A 27,340-nucleotide genomic window follows, 5' to 3' on the forward strand; every position below is an offset into this window, starting at 1 on the left:
TGGGATTAACTTTCCTTGTAGGAAAGCATGAATTAGAATGGATAATTCTTAGCATTGGAAGACAGTAGGCTTCGTCCAGCAGGCAATTAAATGCCTCATGTGACTTGCACCCCTAAAGGAGGGTGGGCCCGATTTTTCTCCAAAGACTACAAATAACGAAGTGACAACTCATCAAATGGCTGTGGGATTTCCAGTACTCAAATAAGTTGTAAAGATTAAATTAGAAAAGACATGAGAAAGTCCTCTGCGAAGCCCAGTGCCATAGAAAGAGTGCTGGTCCAGGCATCTGGAGCCCTGGTTTCTAGCTCTGCTATTGGTATAAGTTAACTTACTATCCAGCCCTGGGCAAGTTACTACCTTGCTGTGGTCCCTTCCTGGACTAAACCAGGGGCTTCACTACATGACCACTAATGTTCCTGCCAAGTCTGATATGTCTCATTTTCTGAAAATCCATGTCAATGATAAAGTATTTGCAATGGGGAGGGCCTGACTGACACCCCATGAGCTGGGGAGTGTGAGCTGTTTCTGTAGCCACGGGAATGGAGTGATGCTTGAAACTGCCACAGTTCTTACTCAAGGCCCCTTGTGTTCTGGCTGGAGTTAAACATAATCAGTGGAAGTGGACATCGAATGGGGTAAAGCTCCCAATCTAGTACTTGAATCTCACCTTAGTAAGTCCCTCAGCCCTGTAGTTTAACCATATAAGCCAAAAACCATGGATAAAGACACAAAACTTTTAAGAATCTATGAGCCAGTGTTATTTAGGAGACAACTGCTCACCTTCTTATGTAACTTCTAATATATCAATTGCTAAACCACTAGATAAACTACACCTCCCATGTGGTAGGCAAGAATTGTCCCATAAAACCTTCTAGGTCAGAGACTAGGGCTTATATTACTAAAATGGAATTTCACCTTCCTTCATCATAGCAGCCCTGGCCTACATACATGGGAATCTTATATCTTGTGGCAGGAAATGGTTAACAAAGAGCTATAGAAATGAATCTGCTCTATGGCCTGATGGACACTCATCATTAGTGAGTTATTACAAATAATAACTATACATCAAATGCTTCCTCTTGTTTCTTTCCATGGACAGGTGCAAGTTTCTTACTGAGTACTGTTCAATTGTGCCTGGAGATGGGGAGAGGTATAGTGGTTTCATTTTTTTTTTTTTGAGACGGAGTCTCGCACTGTCACCTGGGCTGGTGTGTAATGGCGCCATCTCGGCTCACTGCAACCTGCATCTCCCAGGTTCAAGCAATTCTCCTGCCTCAGCCTCCTGAGTAGCTAGGATTACAGGCACCCACCACCATGCCCGGCTAATTTTTTTGTATTTTTTAGTGGAGATGGGGTTTCACTGTGTTAGCCAGGATGGTCTCAAACTCCTGACCAAGTAAGTGATCCACCTGCCTTGGCCTCCCAAAGTGCTGGGATTACAGGCTTGAGCCACTGCACCTGGCCACGGTGGTTTTATTTTTGTCTTTTGTTTCACCATCTGGTGGCAATAATTATCATCATCCTACTCATCCCCAAGTCAGCCTTATCCTAAATCCTTCGGGAAACCCCACCTAAACTCTGGAACTACTCAACAAAGCAGAACAACAGAGAAAAAGGGCTTCAGACTTGAACGTGACCAGGACAGAGTTGTGCACACACGCACACCCTCCCCCACTGCTACCAGGTCAAGGTGATTTTTCCAGCTCTTAATTCATTTCAGGAATATGGGCTTGGGAGCTTGTTTAATCTCTAGGACTCTTTTTCTTGGGGATGTGAGGCCCAGAAAGCATGTATCATCACAATGCTTTATCCCAGCAGAAGCTTGTGATTTTGCCCATTTGGCTGATATGAAGAACTTCCTCTTCCCAAATCCCCAAGAAAAGGGGCTCTTTCTCAGGCCCTGACAGTCACCCCATGGCAGGACAGGCATTTCAGTAGCTACAAGAAAATATACACATTTTGAAGTTCTTGGCTGGGGTTTTCCAGCATTTCTTGGTGTATCTGCCTTCTTCTGAATTGAAAGCAAGAGAGTTATAGGCAACTTCCTCAAATTGTTTTATAAAATGTATCAAGGTCATTACTATTTTTCATTTTCCTCTTTCTCCTGTTGCACCCTTCTCAATTTGAACAATGCTTTGTGCCAACAGAGGGGTGGGCAGTATTGGAGAAATATGCAGGTGGATTTCTTTAGGGATTATCAAGGGTGGGGTTGAGCGGGGATGAAAGAGCAAACTCTGGTTTCTAGCTTACAGGGCATTAAGTGCAGCAGTGGACAATCTCTGTATCTCCCATGCAGCAGTGCTGGCTGGACTTGGCATTTATAAGCTAGTGCCTGTGGGGAAATCAGTCCTACTTTTTGGAAAAGTCCACTAAAAGAGGCATGATTGAGCCTATGTCATATGAAAAAATCACTTGTGAAAGCCTCAATTTTTGCCTCTAATTGCTAGATCATGTCACCTCTCTGATAGATGTCAAGAATCTGTACTTGCTTCATACATTTTTCCAAGCAAAAACTAATGGATTTAAAAGATGGGATTTACCTCTTTATCATCATGACGTCTTCGAATAAATTCTTCCGTGGATTCCAAGTAATCAGCTGGTATAAAATGTCTTGGCGATTCTGAATCTTTAAAACAACAAAGTAGAGTTAAAACAGGCAAAGATTTCGCTGGAAACCAGCTTGCGAAAAGAGTTCACCTTTCATCTATTATAAATATCAAAATTTTGAAGTCATTCTTGATTAATGATCAATGGTCGAATTCTGAAGGAAAAAAAAATTCCACCCCCCACCCCATTTTTTGGATTTATTTGTGAACTAGTTTAATGCAAAGAAAACTACTCAAAAGGCAAAAGGTGAGCAAAATGAGAGAACTTTCTTTGTAAAGTGTCCCTACAAAGAGGCGTGCAGGACCTTATAGGGACAAGGCACACACTCACACACATATAGGGCCATTGAGAGAGGCTGCCTCTCAAAAAACCATGGGGTATGTTGGGGATTGGTGCAAACAGCAAGGGGTTCAAGAGTTCAAATGAACACATTTCTCAGTTGAGCTAAACGGCCAATTTTTCTTTCGAAACACAGTTTGGTGGTTAGTCTAAATGACATGGGGGCTTTGTTTTTAAAGAAGTGCAGCCACTACGAGCCATGATTAATTGCCAAGCAAAACAAACAGAAAACAAAGGACAGACCAGAAAATGAGCACCAAGGGCACAGAGGAGGACGGGATAATGCAAGCAAAGTGGAGGGACGGGCAGGTGAGACTAGGCAAACACACAAAATGCCACCTCCACGGGATGGTGCCAGTTCACTTTGTGGGTTGTTGTTCCTGTCCAGGCTGTGGTCTGAGTATGGCACGGAGTTTCCATTATTAATGGCCCTTGGGTAGTCCTCCAGGGCCGTGGGTCTCTCCTGAGAGGGCTCTGAGCTGCGGCTAAGCCTGGCCATGGTGTGTCGGGAAGACAGGCGTGTGGGAACCACGGGCTTCCCCCCAGAAGGGGGCTGGTCCTGATGGGGCTGACTGGGGAGGTCTGGCTTCTGGCCCACCAGGAGGCCTGAGGAGTCACCAGGGGAAGGTTGTCTGGGGTGGTGGTGGAGGGGCTTTTTCAGCCGGAAAGGAAGGGGGCTCATTAGGTAGATGTTCCTGAGGAGGGTGCTCTTGTCCCCTCTGGCATCCAGGCGCCACTCAGGCTGTCTAGAGGTCTGCTGCTGCTCATGCTTCCGGATGGTGGTGAAGCGGGTGTATGAGGCCGGGCAGGTGCCCTTGCACTTGTTGAGGCGATGTTTGGGGAAATCTCCATGAACACTGCCGCCACTGCCTTCTCTGCTGTCAGTGGAGATATTTGAACAGCGGTCCACGTCATCAGAGCAGGTGGAGAGAGGCTCAGAAGGCACAAGGCCCCTGAAGCTCAAGGCATGGTGTGCCATATTGCTACATGTTGGGGAAGCATAGACCCCACTGGAGTTCATCCCATCCATCTCCTTGGGATGGAGCTTGGTTGACTCAAGTAGGGACTCGGCCGAGCGGGCTGAGGTCAGGCTGCCCCGGGACAGCACAGGTGTGGGAGACTTGCTCAGCCTTCCGGACAGGTCCAGGGATGGCATGGAACGGGACCGCTGAATCAGCTGCTCAAAAGCGGTGATGCGGGAAGAGACGGTGTGCTTGGGGATGTGTTCCGAGCCCTCCTGGCTGGGGCCCAGCTCACCCCTGGACAATGCCAGGCTACTCTTTTCAAAGTGGGAGGCAAGATCCCGCACACTCGAGGAGGAGGAGATGGAGCCCAGGAAGAGGCCAGATCGGTTGATCTGGTGCATGTCCCGATAAAGCATGGTGAACTGCATCCCAGCCTTTCTTGAGAGAGGACAGGGCCTCCTGCCGCTGGTGCTGTACTCCTGGAGGCTCATGGTACTGCTCGACTTGCTGTCATAATCCCGTCGGGAGCGCATGAGCAGGTTCTCAATGCTCCCTCCCACTTGGAGGGGGAGGCCTCTTTTGGAATCATTTAAAGAACCAGAAACACAAAGGTTCTCACAGCTTTGAGCCTTCTCTGAGGGCAAGAGGATACTCTTCTGTTCCTGCAAAAGAGCGCTGGGAGCAGAGAGCCTGGGTTTGAATTTGGATGGAAGGATTTCCGAAATGCAGGCCTTCGCAGCTGACAGGGGCTTCTTGTGCTTACACACAGGGCCTAACGCATTGCTAGTGTTAAACGTTCGGCTATGGACTGAAGATGAAGAAATCATGTGAGCATTCCCACCTTTACGATCCACTGGTAAGCATGCAGAATAAAATAAATAGACCCATTAGGTTAAAGCTGAAAGCTGCTAAAAAGAAAAAGGAGAGGTAACATGCTCATTTGTCATAAGGGCTTTTAAAAAATTTCCAGTCGAGGTCCGGAAGCAAAATAATCTGTGCTGCAAAGCAGGTGCAAGGATGCAACAACAAAAAAAAATGGCTACCCTGCTAGAGTTAGGAATGGCTAAAGCTCAGCTAATTTCTAAGAAAAGGTAATTAGAATGAGAGAGAGAGAGAAAGAGAGAAAGAGAGAGAGAGAGAGAGAGAAATCTTGAAGGAGAACAAGGTTGGGGGGTCAAAGGAACAGAAACTATTAAAACCAGAAAGAAAAATGGCCGGTAAGAAAATAGGGGAGGGAATTTAAGAGGGCTCTGAGGCCTGAATGTGGGTCTGAACAAGGCAGGACTTATCCCCATTGCTGGAGGTTCACCACGGCCGACGCTCAGTGAATGGAGGTGGATGGGAGACAGAGGCCTGCAGGCTTCACCCAGTTAATTACCTTTAGTGGAAGCAGAGCTGGATGGTCGCTTGAGCCCACTCAGGCCCTGAAGAGGGATGTCACCACCTTCCAAGACACTTTTATAAATTTGTCTCTCATTCTCCAAGCTAGTGAGATCCCCAGGAGCCCCGTCTGATTCCCTCTTCACTGCATGGAAGTTGGAAGAATATATACTATGAACAGGTAATTTTGAAAGAAAGAGAGAAAAGGGAAAAAATAAAGATAAGAATAGGAGTTAGTGCTTTTAACATTTTTCAAACAGCACATTACCTGCTGAGGACAAGAAATACACCTGGTATCCTAATCAAGAACTGTCCTTTCTAAAGAGTGCTCTTATTTAGACAGACATTTCTACAGACAGGCCCATGGAGCCCTGAATGCTCAGGAATCTTGACCAAACAGCAAAGTTCTCTAATTGGAATGGCTACATTTGTGCTTTAAAAGAAAAATTCTGTGGAACGCTGCCTGGGGAAGAAGGGTTGGAGGAAGGATAGGGGAGAACAGGGGGAGGATCACACATAGGGGAGGGCAGGAGGACCCAATGGCTGCACGCAAGATGGTGCAGTCAAGCTCTCTGTCAGACGTGCCTCTGTCACGTAGCCAGGCAGTGTCAGCTACTTCAAGTCCACTACCTGGATTATTTTTCTTGGTTATTCTTCGTAAGCATTTGGAATATAAAATCATCAATGAAAGGGGGAAGCCCAACTGTCTTGGGTCTCCAGAAAAATCAGTGACCAAGTGAAATTGGAACCTGGGATTCTATGGGCTCTTAGTATCACAGCCACATTTGCACTCACTTCTTTCAAAGTTTGTGTTCAGAAGATTATGACCTGACATGTAGTATAAGCATAAACAATTGCTCCTTTATAGCCTCCATTTATTTTTATCTTGTTAACATCGAGGTATTTCTGCAAGTTACCACAAATTCCTTTTGGAATGAGGTGAGGCACAGAAAAAAAAATCAAGGGTACTTACTCACTGAGTCCCTCCCTTCTCCTAATCCCACTTTTCTATGCCTGCCACTAACACACTGTCATTCACACACACACACACAGACACGCACATGCACAGACATGCGCGCGCGCGCGCGCGCACACACACACACACACACACACACATATTTCTCAGTTAAGTGAATGACTCCTATCCCGCAGAACCACATAGGCTTCTGCTGAGCTTCTTTTATTCCTACCCAACTCAGGTTACTGGTATCAAAATAGATTTTTCAGCTCTGAAGACCCATTGCTAGGTGGAATTCCTTCATCCCTCTGTTTCATTGTGAACATCAACTAACATATAGAACAGCTTAAAGAATTACAGAGTGAACACCCATATTCCCCCCACCTAGCTTCTACGGGGGCCACAAACTGTGACTGCTTGATCACACATCTGTCCAGCTATATTTTCCTCTACTCAACCAGCAACGATCAATAATGTGATGCTTTTACATTCCGGGAAACTGGCCTTTCTTTCTGTGCATAATTGCAGCCTCTGAGTCCCCATGGTCACTGGTAATGACAGCAAAAACAACTCTACACACCTCTTGGTGAGGCGTCCTATGTGGCAGGCACCGTGCCTATTGATCATTATCACTTCAATCCTAACATTCCTACTTCTGCCATTTTTTAGATGAGGAAACAAGGCACTGAGAGATTCAGTAATTTGTCAAAGTAGGCAGGTTAGCAGAATGGCAGGGCTGGAACTTGAACTAGGCCATTGAGCACTACACGGATAGTATTCTCTCTCAGCTCCTGTTTTATTTTACTGCTCATTAATTTATTTTTTTGTTGGGACAGGGTCTTACTATGTTGCCCAGGCTGGTCTTGAACTCCTAGCCTCAAGTAATCCTCCCACGTTGCCCTCTAAAAGTGCTGGGATTACAGGCATGAGCCACTGTGCCCAACCTTCAGCTGCTGTTTTATTAATAGATACAACATTTTCCTACAACTGAGGAGGCAGTGGCTTGCACACCACAGGAACCAGAGGGAGCTCAGGGATGCTCCAGCTCCGTATACACCATCACTGCTGAGTGTTACTCACCATGAATACACCCCTAAGATAAGCGGCACCAGACACAGGAGTCAGAAATGGAAAAGAGGTGGGGACTCTGGTAGAATACCGCGACATCTCCACCTTAGAATAATAAAGTCCCCTGAGCAATACTATTGCTTCTGGCACTGGTAATCCCCTCGCAGAGCTGCCACTTACTGAGCCTCACCTTGTACCCACCTGGGGCTAAGGGCTTTATATACCCTATTTCAGGGGACTGCCGAGGGTGGGGGTCAGAGCTCCCCCAGGACCCTCTTAATTCACTCTGGCCTGGATGTGGAGGTCAAATGCTTTTCCTCTTTACTTAGAGGAGATGGAAGAACCTGAGGGTAGCTTGCAAGGCTGTGGCACCATATGCCAATTTAAATAAATGTGAGTTGATCTAAACTGGCTTATAATTTTGAATTTCCTAATTAAAAATAAATATGTCCCTTTTCTAAATTTCCTATTCATTATCCACCCTCTTCCCTTTGGTTGCATTTTCTGATTTTGCCCTTCAGTTTAATGCTATGTTTCCTCTTTTTTGTATAACTTCAACAGCAAAAACATCCATGAATAGATGTCCTTTATCTTTGCTGACCAACAGCTGTGGTGACTGAGGTCTCTTTTGAAGGTATGGTGTCTGAAGCCCCTCCCACCTTGGTTTGGGGCTACCACACCTCCTTAAGCATTGGAGATCAGTAAACTAAATTGGGCTTGAGGCTGCATCCATACTTTGAGTTCCTATTCTTCTGCAACCTAACTATGTAAACAAAGTACAATCTAAGAGTATGCTCTTATAACAAGTAGCTGAGTCTCAGCCAATCACAGCAGCCAAGCTTCAGCCAATCCCAGGCTGCCAACTGATCAGCCCACATCTATATAAATGCCCAAATAGGCAACTGTGGAGCTGCAACCAATCCAGCTGTAGCTGTACTTGCTGTCTTTTGTTGTTTATAAATGCTGCCTGCCCATGTTGCTGGGTGAAGCTCTCTGAACTGCCCCTGGTTCTAAGGGCTGCCTGAACATAAATCCTTCTATGCCTTAAATAAATCTGCTAAATTTAATTTGTCTAAAGTTTTTCTTTTAACAGAGTGACTGACAGCAGCTTCCATTCTGCTGTGCCTGCTATCCTTTGAATTGCCTCAGCTTTGGCCAGAACTTTTTTTTTTTGAGACAGAATCTCATTCTGTCGCCCAGGCTGGAGTGCAGTGGTGCCATCTTGGCTCACTGCAACCTCTGCCTCCCGGGTTCAAGTGATTCTCCTGCCTCAGCCTTCCTAGTAGCTGGGACTACAGGCATGCGCCACCACACCCGGCTAATTTTTGTACTTTTAGTAGAGACAGGGTTTCATCATGTTGGTCAGGCTGATCTCAAACTCCTATCCTCAGGTGATCCACCCACCTTGACCTCCCAAAGTGCTGGGATTACAGAAGTGAATCACCATGCCCAGCCTGTCCAGAACTTCTAAGCCATCTTCCTAAGTTCCTAATAACTTTGTTCTGTCATGACTCTTGACCATAACTGGCTGCCTGACCTCACATCTCTGCTCTACCTCACCAACAGTCAGATCTCACCCCACCCCAACCCCTCAGCCACCTCACTCTCTGGCCTTATTCCACCCATTATCACCGTTTTTTCCTGCTTCCTACCAGAATGATAAACTAGCACTCAGGAAATCTCTCAGAATGGATTTGCCAAGCCAATTGTTTTTTTTCTGATACCAAAGCTAACAAAACATGCTTTTTCCAGATGGGTAACATTTTGAAACTGAGGCACTCCTTGTTTAAAAACAATACCCAAGAGCTCTACAACAATGCTGTGTCGCCCAGGCTGGAGTGCAGTGGAGTGATCTCAGCTCACTGCAACCTCCGCCTCCCACGTTCAAGTGATTCTCCTGCCTCAGCCTCCCAAGTAGCTGGGACTACAGGTGCCTGCCACCAAGCCTGGCTAATTTTTTTTTTTTTTTTGTAGTTTTAGTAGAGACAGGGTTTCATTATGTTGGCCAGGCTGGTCTTGAGCTCCTGACCTCATGATCCTCCCGCCTTGGCCTCCCAAAGTGCTGGGATTACAGGCATGAGCCACCATGCCCAGCCACAACAGTGTTTTTAAGTGTATCATATCCATCAGATCTTCTAATGTTGAAGAGAGACCATTTGTTTCACTGTACAAAAGGGGAAACTGAAGACCAGAATGTCAAAGGCATTTGCCCAAGGTCACAGAGTACTTGCTCTGTCCAAGTGTACCAGAGAGGATGAGAGAAGCAGCCTTATCCCCTCAGCTGGTTGAGAAAGGTCCAATCAGGAATAGCAGCTGAGTACTTAACAAAACAAGTTAAGTTCAGAAGCTCAGCTCTGAGCAGCCTTGATTAACCCAGATTTTGGTTCAGGAAGAGCAAGCAAGAAGAGCTAGCACAGAGAATTCAGCCTCTGGCTAAGATGCAGAGCTGGCTGCTGAGTTTCAAGGGGATTCAACAAAAACACACTCACTGGAAGAGTAAAGTGAGAGAACAGAGCAATCATCCTAGGGCCAACTGTTTCCAATTGTGCTAACGGGCAGGTTCCGGAGGCAGTGGACAGAGTCCTGGAGACTGGGATTCCCACCTGACTCCAACAAGGAATGTGGATCAGTAGAGGCAAACCCACTCTTGTTTAAAAACTTGCGAACAGTCTGTTTCTCTTGGCCTCAATTTCTTTCACTTGCAAAACTAATAGGCATGGGGAGATTGTACAAGAAACCCACCTGCAAATCTGTTATGTACACAGACCCTTCTTTTGAGCTCCAGACACATACATTCAACCGCCTTCTAGACATCCACCTGAATGTTTCTCAGGCATCTTAAACTCAACGTGTCCCAAACCATCTTCCATCACACAACCCAGAAAGCTCAGGAAATCGGTCCCCTTCTCTCTCTCTCCTTGCTCCTTAAGCCTAATCAGTCACCAAGTCCTGCTTCTTCCCTATCTTTGACACAGCTCACATTAATCCCTTTACTCTCCACCTCCCGCCTTATCATTGCTCACCTACAACTGTACAACAAACACGCATTGCTCCCCCAGTCTCCAGCCCTGATGCCCTCCAGTCATCTCTGTCTAGAAAAGATCTCATCATGTCATTCTACTGCTCATTTATTCGGTCAACAAATATTTACTGAGCATCTATTAAGTGTCAATCGCTCTCCTAGGTGAAGATTCAACAGGCAACAGAACGGACAAAAAGTTCCAGCCTCATAAAGCTTACATTCACCATTCAAAATAATTTAGTTATTTCAAGAAGAAGAAGAAGAAAAAAAACCTAACTGTTGTTAACTGTGGCTTTGCAGGAAGGAGTCTAGATAATCCTCTAGAAGTTTCATTTTATAGCCTTTTGTACTGCATGAAAAAAATTATATCTATACTGATATTGTTATTCACATTTTATTTGCACCTCCTCCATAAAGCTTAACCTTTCTTCCTCCACAAAACAATAGGTGCTCACTCCTCCCTCCTGGGCCCCATCATTGCATTTACCCCACTGGACTCTGGTTATTTACAAATCTGTCTCCCCTATTACACCTGGAACCCCTTGAGGGCAGAAAGTTTATCTTCTTAATCCTTGCATATCTGGTGCCTTGCATGGTTGTTCAATAAATATTAATGGAATAAATGATTCTATAAAATTAAATGCCTACATGCATACAGATTTCTGACACATTTGTAAAGTCCCGGAGGACCTCTACTGTTTCATATAGTTCTTCAGGTTATGATCTGTGTTTTGTTCTCAAATCAGATTAAGGGGAAAAAGCGTTTGCTAGTCTACCATCACCATATAGGGAAGAACAGCTTGTTCTTGAGTGCCACCTGCTGGTCAAATAGAGTAAAGCTCTTTGGTTAGGCAAAGAAGGTTAATCAATGCTGAAATACATTGAAATGAAAGTAATGAGTAGTTACCACTACTGATTTATAGATCTGAAATGCTAGGAAAATAAAGTACAAAACTGGACACACACTGTGATGTTAATTATAAAAAATATATATATTGAAGGCAAGGACTTGTAGTTGTATTGGATATTGGGACTATGGGTGAATTCCTCTCTGTTCCCAGTTCTTTTAATATTATCATATGTAATCAGTGTTAGTTAATAAAATTATCAATTGAAGTCTGTCCAATTTATTAAAGTGGACTTAAAACAACACCATCACTTCTCCAGTTGCCACAAAACTGTGAACCTGGGCCACCTGTGACTCCTCCTCCTTCATTCTTTGGGTTAAGGTCAAGTCCTGCCAATGTTTCTGCCTACACATCATTCCTGTCCAACCAGTGAAAGGCACTAGGTTCAACTTACAAGCTGCCTGCCTCAGTGCTAACCAAGTTGGATTTCAGTTGATTAAGATTTACAGATCCATCCATTCATTGAGCAAACATTTACTGTATGCTTTCCTTTGTGTCAGGCACCCCATTTAGGCTGGTTCCTCACCAATTCCAGATATGAAAAAATCTTATTCATTTGGATAAACTGGGGGAAAACCAAGCCCGATTACTGAAAAATCCCCAAATGGTAGACTAGCAGGAGGAAAAAACTCATTTATTCCTGCCAAGTATTTCATGAGAGCTGAAAAACAGAGGCTTTGAAGACCTATTTTCAGTGATATAAATAAGAATTCTTGGTAAATTAACAGATTGAATATCTTCACGCACATTCACAGTGTCTGAAAACAATTTGCTCTTTTAGTCAGCTTACATTAGTACCCTCCAATCCTGCTAACCCAATATCATAAATAGTTGCTTAAATTGTGTGTGTGTGGGGGGGGGTGTTTGCTTTTTGTTTTTCTTGAGACAGAGTCTCGCTCTGTCACTCAGACTGGAGTACAGTGGTGCGATCTTGGCTCACTGCAACCTCCGCTTCCCGGGGAAGCAATCCTCCACCTCAGCCTGCTGAGTAGCTGGGACTACAGACGTGCACCACCAAGCCCAGCTAATTTTTAAAGTATTTTTTGTAAAGAGGAAGTTTTGCCATGTTGCCCAGACTGGTCTTGAACTCTGGCCTCAAGTGATCCCCCAACCTTGGCCTCCCAAAGTGTTGGGATTACAGACGTGAGCCACCACGCCAGGTCTAAATTGTTTTTTAATAGCTTGAAAACATTAAACCTTAGTATATCTTCTGCTAACTTATTACAAAATTTTGAATCAGTATGGGGCAGATGAGAGTTTACTGCCAACCCTAGTCCCTTGGCCTAGAGCTTCACCGTTCCTAATCTGGATATGGCTCTGCCCTGAACCTGCTGAGGAACTATGGCATTACACTGCTTTGATGTGCCTATTTCCTCATCTATAAAATGGGGATTAAAAATAATGCCTCATCTTGGAATGTTCAGAGGATTAAATGAGGTAAGGTAGATAAAATACCAAGCACAGGACCTGGCACGTAGTAAATGCCTGATAAATTGTTAAAATGATGTTATTCGATACCTGTGCTCCTTTATCCTGACTGCCTGTGGTAGCATTTGCCACTTGGCCTTTTCATTTACTAACCTTATGTGTGTGTGTGTGTGTGTGTGTGTGTGTGTGTGTGTGTGTGTGTTTTGTCCCAAAACTATTAAGGGACTATATCTACATTCCTATTAGAATACAGAGCTTAGTGCCTTGGATCCAGTAGAGCTAGGGAATTCACTCTGCCAGCTGTCCCATGAAGCCCTTTCCGTCTTGTGCAGTTTAGGGGGATGGAGGTGAGGAGGTAAACGAGGAGAGCAGGCAGCAGGGTTAACACGGGCAGTCAGGACTGCCAAAGTGACAAGCTGAGAATAAAGAGGTGGCCTGGGGGACCAAGGAGAGCTTGCTCGGAGCTGTGGCCTTGAGGACACCCTTTATCTGCAGGTAGCCTAGGGTCATCTGGTGGGCTTCATCTCTGAAGGCACATCCTAGGACCTAGAGGACCTGTGACTTATTGTCATTTTTAGAGCTGAAGGCCCGGCTCAATTGGAAGCTCTTTAAAAGGGAGTGAGCTGCAAAGCCAGAGTAGGAGACACGGGTTGTGATGCTACACCTGAGCCCTGACACCTGTCATATTGGCGACTGAGTCACCAACCCCACAGTGAATGCAAGAGACTTTACACCAGTCCTTCTCCAAGGTGGGAACTGTCCCCTAAGGCAGTCCTTCTCTAGCTGCTGTCTTAATATGTCTTCTTAATTTCTTCTTATGCTCCTGGGTATATTAATCATGAAACACACATATTTATAGAAGAAAAATTAACATGATGGATCTAGCTAGAGCTTTTGATCACTACCCTAAATAGATTAAATTTTTCCATTTTTCCACCAAAATACCCAAATCCCTGCTGACTTTCAAATGAAACTCTTCCTGTAAAGCACATTCTCCAGCAATGTAGGTAGGATATGTCCCAGAGACCACAATATCTGTCAAAAAAAAACCTTATACACTCAGCAACTCTGCTCATTGTGGATTTATCCAACCCTACTAGCATAGGTAATAGGTGTGTCTTCCCCTCATTGTCATATTTCAAAGAACAAGACACAGATGCGATGGTGACAAAATAAGAAAAGCTCCTACCAGAACAAGCTCCTTTCCTAAATTCACTGGGTGCCCCAGGCACTGTGAAGACTGGGGCCTTGCCCTTGAGGAGTTTATAATACACTAGCAATTATAAAAATACAAGAGTATATGTCAGGTATACAGCAACAGAAGTAAGGACCACAGAGGTACTAACGTGAGCCTGGGTACAGGAAGGCTCCACGAGGGCCTATCTATATAAGCTAAAATGTTTGCTATTTATCACATATAGAACAGGAGGTGAGGGTAGCACTGAACATTTTCAGCTGGGATAACAGCTTCACAGCAAAGTGCTGAGAAAGGCAATCTGCTATAGGATTCAGGATGGTTTGGCAGGGGAAGAGGCTGGTGGCACCCCACAAAGGAGTGGGGTATGCATGCATCATCCAGAGTCCTAAGAACTGACAGAGGAAAACAGATGCCCATCTATGTGAGAATCAGGTAAATTAGCCCCTTCTCGGCACCTCCCTCCCCCCGTCTATTTTTTTTTTTTTTTTAGATGGAGTCTCACTCTGTCACCCGAGCTGGGGTGCAGTGGTGCGATCTCAGCTCACTGCACCTTCCGCCTCCCAGGTTCAAGTGATTCTCCTGCCTCAGCCTCCCAAGTAGCTAGGACCATGCCCAGCTATTTTTTGCATTTTTAGTAAAGACAGGATTTCACCATGTTGGCCAGGCTGGTCTCAAACTCCTTACCTCAGGTGATCTGCTTGCCTCAGCCTCCCAAAGTGCTGGGATTACAGGTGTAAGCCACTGCACCCAGCCCCCTCCCACAATCTTTACACCAGATGTGGCCTGTCTCAGTCACACTCCCCTCCCCATAAGAACCAGCAAATGAGATTTTTTTTCTTTCTTTTTTGGGACACAGTCTGGCTCTTTCACTCAGACTGGAGTGCAGTGGTACAATCTCAGCTCACTGCAGCCTCAGTCTCCTGGGCTCAAGAGATCCTCCTGCCTCAGCCTCCCAAGTAGCTGGAACTATAGATGCATAGCACCATACCCAGCTTTTCCTTTTTTTTTTTTGGGTAGAGACAGGGTCTATGTTGCCCAGGCTGGTCTTGAACTCCTGGGCTCAAGTGATCCTCCTGCCTTAGCCTCCCAAAGTGCTGAGATTACAGGCATAAGCCACCATGCCAGGCAAGAACTTGGATTCTAAACTTAGACAAATAAACTCCCATTCTAAAGGTGAAGATGCTAAAATGGGGAAAACTTTATAAAAGGTAATACAAATCATCACAAAATTAATTTGGAAGAGGAGGACAGAACAGAAGAAAAATAATTTGAAGACTATAATTAGATCACTTTTTATCACCAAACTGTACATCATTCAGAGCCATTAGGCTGATACAAACAAAACACACTCTGGGTCCAAAATATAAACTTCTCTCTTCCCATTTCTGACATTTAACATAGTAAGCAATGTAAACAAAATAAAATGGCAACTTACTATCCAGGAGTCTCTGAAGAAATTTCCGGAGTAGGGCTGATGGCTGAGCTCTGTACATGTCCAAAAAAGAAAAAAAAGAAGAAAAAAATAATGTAGATGATTTATTTTGACTCATATGTTTCAAGCCAAGAGGAAAAAGAGAGAGGTCAATTTCTTTTTCCTAGTTTAGACCAGGACCTCTGGAAGTCAGGGGGGCTGGAAGGAAAAGGTCTTCGGTGCTGGTGGAGGGTGGTGCTCTTTCTCTGGAAGGAGAATGTATGGGCAGGTGGGCTCTCCTACTCCTGGTCTTTTGCCTTCCAGTGGATGCAGCCAAGGCCCTCTGGGTGGGTCAGGAGAAGGCCTCCTGGCTCATACTCATCTTCTGTCACAGGTCACTGGGCAATGGCCCACCGTGGGCCAACATGCTTTAGTGACATGGACAGCACATCCTCCACCAGCTTCTCCACAGCCCTCAGACCCCCCTCTGAGCCCAATGCAGAGCCCTTCATGCACCCCAAATGCCACATCCAGAGAGAGGGTCACCCAACACTTTAGGTCCAGCATGTACAAAAGCATACTTTAAAATACCACACTGTATTTAGATAACTTGTGTATGCCTGCAAATTTAGGAGTGCAGAAATGGGGAGAAATGCAATTTCACCAACTACATTAATGATCACTTCAGCATGAATAAGGGAATGCTTTATAAAATTACCAGGCACCACGCAAAAGGAAGAAAACAACCAAGAGCTACATGCAGAGAAAAAGCAACATAATTCTGTAGTTTAGGGTTTCTGTTGTCTTGGAGAGAAAAATGCAAATGCTTTGATATGCTTGTTTTTAAAAATAAGGGAGTAGTTGAATAAATCAATGCAAAGGTTAATTTTAAAGATACTTCTACCTTAAATAATGGCCTTATCTCTAATAATGACCATTTTAAGAAAAACTAGCTATTTGGAGAAGAGACATTTAAGGAAAGGACAGAAAGAAAAGGAAGAGATTGTGAAAGAGAGAAAAGGAAATGACAGGGAAGGAGAGGCAAACTCACCCACTAGCCCCCTGCCTGCTGAAACCTGTTGGGCTTGTATGCTTTCATTTCTGAGGGCACCTCTGCTCTGGGATGAGGACTGTACCCCACGCCACCCCAATTATTCCTCAGAGAGCACACCCCTCTTACCTTCACATCCATCCTCCAGCCCTTTTGGCTGCACTGTCTTGCCTGCCCATCCTCTCCTTCTTGAGTCTCCTATCTCTGAACACCTGTCCTGTCCAGTCTTCCACCTTGAAAAAACTTTGACCCTGTAGAGTCCTCTGGGAACACTCCCCTCCCTTCCTTCCTCCCACGGCCACATCTTTTCACTCAGTGCTGTACCTCTGCAGGCTCCAGATTCTTTGCCATATACTCTAACTCCCAAGAACTACTCACCCAGCAACCTCCAAAGCCTTTGGAAACATCTTAGTCATCACATCCACTGACCTTCCTGGGAGTCCACCTTTCTGGACATCTGGGAAGATCTCATGCTTTCTCCTCTTGCTCCATCATTCGCTTTTCCCTCCGCCTCTGTGAACTCTCCTTTCTCTCCCTCTCCCCTTCTCCTGTTCCACATCACCCAACGTCCCCATGGGTAGTTCTTGGTTTCACATCCTTTCTCTCAACACAATCCCCTCTTCAGTCTTTCATCTACTCCCTAGTTGGGTATCTTCTTCTATCCCCAGGGCTTCAACCATCGCCTCTCCTCAGGTGACTCCAATCCCCATCTTAAGCCCATGCCTCTTCCAAGAACTCTAGTTTTAGAGTTCCAACTGCCTACCGGATATTACCTATATGACACCCAACCAACACCTCAAAGGTCAATTACCTAAAGCCAACTCCCTCACCTTGCCTCTGCCCTGATCTTCTTCCCAGCTGTCCTCTGTGACGTGCTCACATCCTCATTCTTCCATCTGCCTGGCCAAAACCTTAAGGTTGTCTTTGTCTTAATCCCATCCCCCAATTCTTTGCTCTTTACACCAGTTAATTAAACTATCCCACTGCAACATCCTCAGTGACCTGGCTTGCATCTGCCCTCCTCACTGCATGCTGGCACACCCAGCAAGGGCTCTCACCACAGCCACAGTCACCATTCTCACTCCAGGGCTAGTTGTGATCTCTTCTCACCTGGGACCTTCAATTCCACAGTGGCTAATCTGGTTCCTTCACCCTAATTGGAAACTCAGCCCCTAACCCCACCCCACCTGCCCCACCCATCACCTGTCTGCCTCACCCATGTGTGCAGTGCCTCTGGTGGCTCCTTCAAGTGCTGAGGGAGAGCTTGAGCCTAACCCCTGGCCCTGCTGGCTTCCTCATGCTCTGCTGTCTCTGGATCCCCAATTCCTAACACCCTCAAGCAACCTGCAGCTCCTTGGCTCCTGACTCTCTTACCCCAGACCAAATCCCCGGTCTCTTCACCCCTTCCCTGGTTTGAGTCTCTGCTGCTCTCATGACTTTTGTGCCCAAGTCACTGGGGCTGGAGATCTGTCTTGGTTCTGCTTAAGTGTGGCATGGGTCCATCAGCAGTTTCCACTTTTCCTGTCATGGTTTGTGGACCTTCCTGGCCTCCTCAGCTCCATATTCCTTTTGTATCTTTTTTTTTTTTTTTTCCTGAGACGGAGTCTCGCTCTGTCACCCAGGCTGGAGTGCAGAGGTGTGATCTCAGCTCTGCCTCCCGAATTCAAGCGATTCTCCTGCCTCAGCCTCCCAAATAGCTGGGAATACAGAGGCCTGCCACCATGCCTGGCTAATTTTTGTATTTTTAGTAGAGACTGGGTTTCATCATGTTGGCCACGCTGGTCTTGAACTCCTGACCTCAAGTGATCCACTTGCCTCGGCCTCCCAAATTGCTGGGATTACAGGCGTGAGCCACCGCGCCCGGCCTCCTTTTGTACCTTCTCTAAAGATACCTTTTCCTTTTAAGAGTCTCTTTTGTTTTGTCAGGGAGCCCTCCAGGCAGTTCTATGAACATTTGGTTTTTTCCTCCTTGGAAACCTACTTACCATGATGTCTTTCTCTCTCTCTCTTACTCTCTCTCGTATACCCTTTAATAAACCACATTTTGACATAGCTCCCTTTAAAATATCATGGCAGACTCAGTTTCAAACACTTTTTTTGTGTGTCCAGGCCATCTGACCTCTGAGTGCATTTTTCATTGAGAACTTTCTGAACTTTAAAATGACAAACACTACTACTCTGAGAGCACCATGCACAGAAAGGGTACCCAAAGCACTGCTGCTGAGTTTTTGAAACTGATCTTTGAGGTTGGTATCTCCCAGGGCTGCAAAAAAGACATGGAAACTGCCAAAAATGGCTCCCTGAAAATTCAGAGAAGGCAGACAGAGGCAAAGGAAGGGAACTTAAAAGGTCGCCCCTGGAAAGCAGAGGAAGAGAATAAGGTGGGAGAGTAGTTTCAATCAGCAGCCTCTCTGCATATATTTGAAGAATCCCCTTTAAGGAAGATGCCAAGCTCAAAAGAAAACCAAGCAAAAATGAACTGGGTAGGTGTGGGGGAAGGAGTCTAAAACAGTAGTCAGAAAGCCATGCAGCCTAAAATAGCCAGCATCACCATCCGTCACCTCAACTACATCAAAAACCATAGAACAAAGAAGAAAACAAAGCACAGCTTGAAAAGGAACTGATGGCATGAGAAAAACTAGGAAATACCTGTGGCACGTTTGCACTGGGTGCTTTATTAAGCGTCTCCATTTTTTCTAAATCTGCCTCTAACTCTGTCTGGCAGAGGCTGAGATCTTTGTCTAGATTAGTCTGGTTCAAGAAAGAAAAGATGGGAAAGAAGGTTTTAGTTTAGAGGAAAGGGAGAAAGAATGGAAGGTTACGTTTGAAAAAAATGAATTTTTTTCTTAGTGTTATACTTTCATACGGCCAAGATAGCATGATTAAAACACAAGAGCTCACTGGAAATTAGTTGAAGACATGAAAACAGAGAATGTAACATTAGGCATATAAAGCAGAAATCCTGAAGTCATCAGAGCTTCAAAAAGCTATTCTACTTGCTACGGAGAACTACAAAAACCTACCTTTAAGGAAATGCCTATTTTCTCTTTTTTCAGAGTGTGGTGACAGTGACAAATACTATATGTCAGAAGAATACGTAATTGCTTTAAAAACCTCTAAACATTAGTATATGTCTTAGAGAATTTGTTACATAGTTTTATTACCTAACCAAAAAAAAAAAAGCATCAAGTTTTTTCAAAAGTGATTTAAGAAAACAAACAAACAAACAAACAAACCCACAACACACTCACACTAACCAAGGCTAGAGAGCACACACAGTCCAACGGAGGAGGCACAGCGGAATTACCTTTCTATCCTCTCTAGGAAGGATAGAGCAGTCTCCAGGAGTATAATCCCATATCTTTTTGGGAGGCTGACGGGAAGCAGAGGAGGAAATGAAGAAATGAGCATAAAGACATAAAGACAAACATGGAGACTGGCTCAAACAAGGAGGGGTACACTGGGAGAACTGTATCAACACAGAAAGGTGAACTCAAAAGCAAGGGGAGTGGGTGCTGCCTACGGACACAAGGCTGCCTGCTGGAGCGGAAGCCTGAGGATTTGGGAGCTGGGACTGTTACCTAGGAAGTCTGTTTCTATGTCTATGTTTCAAGAGCAAATCATCGTTGGATTCTAAATATTGAAAACTTAAGAAAAGACGGGGGGGAAAAAAGAAAAAAAAAGCATTAACAAATTTGAACAAAAACAGAAACTTTTAAATTCCTCATTGTTCTCTTCAAACTAAGATTGACACTGAAGATTCCACATTTTTGAGGCAGTCTTCTGCTGTAAAATTCATTGTGTATTAACACATGTGTGAATCTAGAGGTTTGGTCAACAGACTGAACCAAATTTACTTTCTGTGGTTTGTAGCAAAGAAATTCATATATAAAATGGGTGTTAAATAGTACACTAGACAATTTCATACCAGTAGTTTTAAAACCTCCTTTTACAGTTTAACTAGACCTTGATAGTGGTAGAAACATACTTTTCATCCCCCTTAGAGAACAGAGTTTAAACCCAGAATTTAAAGAGGGGACTGTAAGGTTATTTTTGTTTTGTCTTTTAACTCTTCAAGTCAGATTTACAGCTGCATTCCTAAGACAGAAATTTGCCAAAAGATTGTTGTAAGTTTAATGAGGGAAGAGTCCAGCGGGTGGAACATTCAGAGGTTACAGGTGACTTCTAACTCTGGATCCTCTCTTCTACTTGTTCTGTCTATTTAGACTTGAATTTTCTTACATAATGACCCCTAGGGTGATAAGAAATAGGAGATCATTAATAGCTCCTAAAATTTTGTGCAAATTTCATTATAGCCAACTCCATGGAAGCATTCAAATTGGTTTACATTGTGAAATTTTGACTTGCTCTTACATATAGAAATCATGTCAATTTCTATAGAAATTAGAGGAAAACAACTCAGAAAAAAAACTGATTCCCAGGCTCTTTGTAATAAATCTGCAAATGAGAAGTAATCTGATTCCAAGGTGTGTTCACCACTGACAGCAACAGGTCAGTAATGTCATCTCTGCACATGTATATTCCGCATTTCATAAAGTAAGTGATATTACCAATTACCATTCATCTTTAAGCACTTAATACACTTGGACTGTTCATCTGCAGAAGTAGACTTTTTAAAGCCTAATGACTTACGATCATTTCTTTACTGCAATAAACAGGGCAGTGTTTACAAATTAAACTGGTTTTAAATAATCTGTCCAAAAATGGTCCCTGGAGTCTTGAACTATTTGCTATTCTAACAACTTGTTGGAGCTAAAAAGGTATCTTTTTAGTCAGGATCTTGCTGAAATTTCAGTTCATTTTGGGTGGCTAAAGCGAAGGGGTGGAGGAAGCAAGGAGTTCAGGGTAAATGTCTAGTGTCAAAGTTCTGGCAGGCTTTACTGGGGAAAGTGGTCCCCAGTTGGTGTGAGAAAAAAAAAAAGTAGAAATGCTGATTCCCATGATCTGGTAGGATTTTGATTCTGCTTCTGAATGGCTGAAAAGCTTTCCAAAACAGCTTCCATGGTTTATGCCACTTTTATTTATGTCTCTTACTCTTTTGTGGCAGAGTGGTTGCAGTAGGAAGTGAAGAAAAAATTTATCCTTACCACACCTTCCTCCCAAACCCTGTTAGTTCAACTAGGTAATAAGCCCACCATTAGGATGCCTCAGACCATAAGGAGCTGTTCATTTCAGGACTGTTCCTCAGGATATGGGCATTGATTTAGTTAATTTGGCAAGTCTTCACAAGTATTATCTTTTAAAGTAAGACCTACACAAAAAGAAGCAGTCTCATTAGAAGAACTCTGAGGCCTGTGCAAAGAATGCATGTGGCTTCAGAGAAAATGCTACTTTGAAAAAGCATCTCTGAGTCTTTAAATAATTAAGAGGTTGTTAGAGCAATGGGGTGGGGAGACAAGCTAGAGGAAAGCCCCAGTATACAACTGGACTGTGTTCTCAACATTTGTTTGAAGTTAGCTGTGTGGTACCTGGAGTGAAGTTTTTGGCAGCAATACTGTTAATTTATCAAGCTATGCATGGAGACTATTTAAATGTATGCTGGTATTAAAATACTATATATTATCCTCAAAAATTATTTGTAATGATAGATTTAGTAAAACAATCACAACTAATTAGGGAAAAAATTCCACCATTTTTCCTGAAAGCTAATATTTTAGATAAAACTAATTTAGTTGTTTGGCAGATGAGATGGGCAGAAATGTGTGGATTCTGAAACAGACTTGAAAAATCAACGGCATGGACTCTATTAAACATAACTTAATAGCTTTTGCTTTCCTTGACTAAAGTATGGCATTATTGTTTCATATACCAATCATGGTCTGTTTTGGGGGTGGGGAGACAACTACACACAGCAAAAGCTTTTTTCGGTGACATAATTGACCAGGTTTTAAGAAAAGGAGAAAAGAGAAAGGGTTAGGATACTGTTAAATACTGCACGTGGAAAAGATTGCCTGAGGTAGATTTAACTGATGTCTGAATGGTGAACAGCAGAGGCGAAAAAAAGAAAGGAGAGAAAGGAGAAGAAATGAGGTGTGCACCAATGCTTTGGGGAGGGGAGAAGGAGGGTGCAGACTTTGGGTCAGATGCGTCCCTCTCCACTGGTCACTAGGTGGCGCTGTTCATCCAGGACAGCTCAGCTGCTATCGGGAGACAGTGTCTAGGAGGGACCAGAAGAGAGGAACAAGCAGGCTGTTTGCAAGTCTGGTGCTCTTAACTCAGAAGATGCCTGAACTTTCAAAGCTCAGCACTGCCAAATCAAAGAGCAATTCCTAAGCACCAACTTAATTTCTCTTTGTCTTTGTTTTAATAAAAAATTTTAAAACATTTTATTTACTCAACTATAAAATACATTCCTGTCTGCAAATAAAACTATCATCCCAGACCACAGAAACTCAAAAGCTGGATCCAATGCATAAAGTCTCATACAATCATTGAATAAAATGTGTTTATACACTTAACTCCTCTACCTGTAAATTCTTTTTGCAGCTGTAATAATTAAGACTTTAAAATAACTAGAGTTTTAAAGTCAGTTTCGTTATCTCTAGAGGAAGGATGAGCTCAATTCTCCCTTCTATTTTATATTCCTTTGGGTGCAAGGCTAAGAAAATCCTCCTTTAAGTGCCAAAAGTCAATTTGTACCAAAGCCAATTCAGAGATATCATGGGGCAACTGTAGGCTGAATACTAAAGATGCTAGAATTCCTTACTCCCATTTCAAACTTTGGGAAATATCCTACATCATAGAAATCATTCCCTAAAAGTCACCTATAATGGGGTTGCATTTGTGGGTCACATCTGCACAAAGAGGTCCTTGTTGGCCTGCTCTGGGACTTCATTTACATATGTGCTTTTAAAAATGCTATTTAAAGCAGAGACAATGCTGGTCTTCTCAGTGTGTAACACATTTTCAGCTTGTCTTTCACAGACCATAAAGACTTTGGTCAAGGAAGTGAAAACAATGGCTGAAATAATGCCATCCGCAAGGCATGTGGTACTTGTTGTTAGTGGGGGGAGGTCTAAGACAAGCAATGATTATTTGTGTTTCTCTGGGATATTCCAGCAAGATATACTTCCAGAGCTCACTATCCTTTCTCAGTGAAGTAAGGCAAAAGAAAGCTCAGAGGTTGTAGTGAGAAGAGACAATCCCACTACGGACAACCAACATGACTGCTCCCCACTTTCTGAATTCCTTACAAACATCTGATTCTTTAGCAGCAACAACGCATCCACAGCATTAGTTTAAAAGGTGTATAACCACTGAAGCTATTAAACTTACCGGTTTCCCAAACTCCAATTCCGAAAAGAATTTATACCAAGGTTCATTCTTTAAATCTATCTCTTCTGGGCTTATATCCCGACTCTATAGGGGTTGGTGATAGAGAAATGGAAGAAAGAGAAGGATAACATTATGCAAAGATTACATAGGAACAGGCCAGTAGAGATGCAGTGGTTTCCAGGTATATACAGGAGCTGCATTCAACAGCAGCAATCATCTGTTTTTACTGACAACAGCAAAAACAGGAGGGAGAGGATGGGTTTATAAAAACAGGGAAATTGAGGCAGGGAACAGTAAGTGAATCATTCTCAGCCCTAAGGCAGAGGAAAATGGACTATAGATGGACAACTCTGCACCACACTGCTGCCTACACAACAAGTCTGAATCTGGGCATAACAGCATTCTGCAATAATTTTCAGTAATGTGGAAGAAAAGAAAGCCCTTTACAAAGAACTATTAGTTATGAGCAAATGACCTGGTGAGCACACCAAACATTTAGCCATCTATGCCAGTTGAGTAGAGCTGATTTTTATGGGCTAGTACAACTTTAGTACTTATTTGCAAAGCTGCCTTAAGGTTTTCGAAATAAACACAAATATTGACACTTTATAAAAGCCAATTGGTTAATACTGCATCTTTAATGGCACATGAGTAGGTAGGAAACCATGTCCCGTACACAGTAAAGTGAAAGTGAAAAATGATATAAGTAAAGACAGAGGACACAGTGAAAAAACATTTTAAACAAGTATCCATGGCGGATGAATACAGACAGAATATACTTCGTGTTTTAACAAATAAATGTTAAAGAATTGGGAAAAAATAAAGTGAAAGAAAAGCTAGACAAGACAGATAACAGAACAAAGGGGAAAAAAACTTCTGGGTTATATGACAAAAATAAGTTAGATTTCTCACTTTATATAACACTATGAGGTATCAATAGACTGATAATTTGATTTCATGGGATATAATATTTAACCAAATAAGTATAAAGTTCTGGCACCTTATTTCATGGAATAACACGTGTTTCTGGAAATAACTAGTTGGAAAATGAATGTGTGCAAAGCAAATCATGTTTTCCCCTTCATAAATTGGAGAAATGTTTACATCAGGGAAAAGTGTTTGAGGTTCATGACTAATTAAGTATGTATATATGTTTCAAAAAACATTGATAATCGCAAAAAGAGAGTTGGGGTGATTTTCTACAATAACCTGAAATATAAAATGCATACACTTTCTACTGAGATTGAAAACACTGCACAACAAACTTCACTACTTCTGGGCTATAACACCTGAGGGAGGGGGTTGCCATGTGTGGTGTGCAGGTCTTTAATGCTAGTGCTTCACAAAGCAGCTCTTCTTGTACTTTACTTACAACACAGTTAACATCCCCTTTGCAGCTTGTAGAAAAATGGCTGCTAACTTTCTTAGTGACCTTTACCATCCCTTTTTCTAAGATCTTTAAAAGAATCTTTAGCATTACTTTCACTTTTGCTACAGGTAGAGGACTATGGAAATATGGCAGGGAACCTTCTTTTAACTGAAACCAAGCTAGGTTGAAATCGGAGGGAAAATCATACTGAAACACAAGGTCTGTCCTCCTGCATCCAGATAAGACTTCCTCCAAATGTCTTTAGGGACTTACGGTTTAAATCCTGAAGGAGAAGCCTTGCCCTCCCTGTAGTAAATGGATTCTATATTTATTCAATTCAGTGAAAGGAGGTACAATACCTACAAAAACACAACTACTCAGTAGTGGCAATTTAGACATTGGGAGTTTCTAGATCCTAATATGATGGGGTTTCATGAATCTATTTCATGTTTGTTATTTTTACAAAGACTATTTATAAACTGCCCTCTGGGAATGGTTAGGCTTTTTTTTTTTTTTTCTTAAATAAAATGTACCAGCTCTTTCGGGGAACTGCCTGAAAGTTTTGGTACTCATGATCCTGAAGTAATTAACTTATTTTATTCCCAAAGGTTGTCTGCAGATCGTTTTACTGTGGAGGTTAATGCTGTGACAATAATAGAATCAGGAGGTTATGTCAAACAGCGATGGGTGAGAGCAACCAGCCTCAGTCCTTTGAGCTGCCCAGAGATAAAGCTAAAAAGGTGATACCACACAGCCCTCACATCTGCATTTGATTTTGCCAAGTATAACTCAGCTGTGGATCCTGTTATGGAACAGACCAATAGAAAAACATCCTTCTGGACACAGAGCAGGAACTCTGGCCTGGCAGACAGGGAAAAATTCCATAATGCCTGGCAAAGTTCTTTAGTACCACAGGCTATTCTCCCAGCTCAAAAAAAATCCTTGGAAAAGGGCAGGTAACTCACCAGAAAAATGCCAACTTCTCCTCAAAGACAGTTTTGCTTCTTGAATGGAAGCCAGAGACCAGCTTCAAATTCCAATTAAGTAAGTCGCCTGAATGTGGTATGTCTGTGTAGCACTTCATAATATTCAGTTATTGTACCCATATTATCACATTTGACCCACCCCATCTTCCAATTCCTAGTCCAGTGTTCTTTACACTATACCATATTCCCCTTTTCATATTCCACATGACAGGGGGGCAGGCCCACTAAGTTTGCGATGACACCAAGCTAAAGCAGGGCTAAATGACCATGCTGAAAAGCCAGGAAAGGAACACAAAGTGAGGATGAACTGGGAAGAAACCAAGCTGGGGAAATCCCCTTGTTTTACACTTCTAAAATGTACACTGTGTCTGTAATCCCTCTTTTAATATCTGTCCGTCCTACTACATATATGTGTGTGTGTGTGTGTGTGTGTGTGTATGTATGTATGTATATATTTAACTGAACTGAACTTCTGTAAGAGACTTAGAGGAAGGTATAAAAGAATGAGTCCTGAAAAAGGCCATTTCTGACAAAGCAAGGACTGACCAATAGATCTCCAATTCCAAGGCTAGAAGAGAAAAAAGTATCCTACTATGATAAGAGGGGACCAAGTAGAGATAAAGACCCACATACGTGCCAGGTTTGGTCGCTCAAGCCTGTAGTCCCAGCAGTTTGGGAGGCCAAGAGGGGCAGATTGCTTGAGCCAAGGAGTTTGAGACCAGCCTGGGCAACATGGTGAAACCCCATCTCTACAAAAAATAAAAAATTAGCTGGGCCAGGCACGGGCTCATGGCTGTAATCCCACACTTTGGGAGGCAGAGGTGGGTGGATCATTTGAGGCCAGGAGTTCAAGACCAGCCTGGCCAACATGGTGAAACCCCATCTCTACTAAAAATACAAAAATTAGCCGGGCATGGTGGTGCGTGCCTGTAGCCCCAGCTACTTGGGAGGCTGAGGTGAGAGGACTGCCTGAGCCTGGGAGGTCAAGGCTTCAGTGAGCCATCATCACACCACTGTACTCCAGCCTGGGTGATAGAGTGAGACCCTATCTCAACAAAAAAAAAAAAAAAAAAAAAAAGACCTTCATATGAGTCTTTCAAATAGATGACTAGGTCATCAAGTTTGTAAGTCTTCTGTAGGGGGTTTTGAAGGCAGTACAGTGTTTCTTTCATCTTTCTGGAATGATTTAGAGTATGCTCCAGGGCAAGGTGAGCTCTAGGGCAACCTCTCCTGCTAACCATGCATAGATGTGCCTATGAAGTCACAATTTAAATTGCCAGAGTTAAGCAGACGTAAGTACCTCAAATGGAAAAAGCATTTTTTCTCCTAAAATGAGGTAGTGCATATCTGAGAG

The 27,340-nt window shown here is 43.4% G+C and overlaps 1 protein-coding gene across 79 annotated transcripts in view; it reads right to left on the reverse strand.

The window, feature by feature from the left end:
* The window catches only part of SORBS1 (sorbin and SH3 domain containing 1), a 249,599-nt gene that overhangs the window by 40,569 nt on the left and 181,690 nt on the right, over positions 1 to 27,340 (reverse strand). For 30 of the 79 annotated variants that reach the window (XM_017015539.2, XM_017015533.2, NM_001384462.1 and 27 more), the window contains 4 exons: positions 23,632 to 23,715; positions 15,309 to 15,358; positions 5,290 to 5,462; positions 2,541 to 2,626 (listed from right to left, as the gene is read on the reverse strand). In XM_017015539.2, coding sequence (XP_016871028.1) covers positions 2,541 to 2,626; positions 5,290 to 5,462; positions 15,309 to 15,358; positions 23,632 to 23,715 — 393 coding nt within the window. Of the gene's footprint in view, positions 1 to 2,540; positions 2,627 to 3,285; positions 4,765 to 5,289; positions 5,463 to 15,308; positions 15,359 to 18,984; positions 19,087 to 19,642; positions 19,709 to 23,631; positions 23,716 to 27,340 lie in introns of all 79 variants that reach the window. The other 49 variants (NM_006434.4, NM_001034957.3, XM_017015540.2 and 46 more) reach the window with 6 other exon arrangements.

The sequence above is a fragment of the Homo sapiens genome, chromosome 10, assembly GCF_000001405.40.
Source record: "Homo sapiens chromosome 10, GRCh38.p14 Primary Assembly".
NCBI classification, from domain to species: Eukaryota; Metazoa; Chordata; class Mammalia; order Primates; family Hominidae; genus Homo; species Homo sapiens.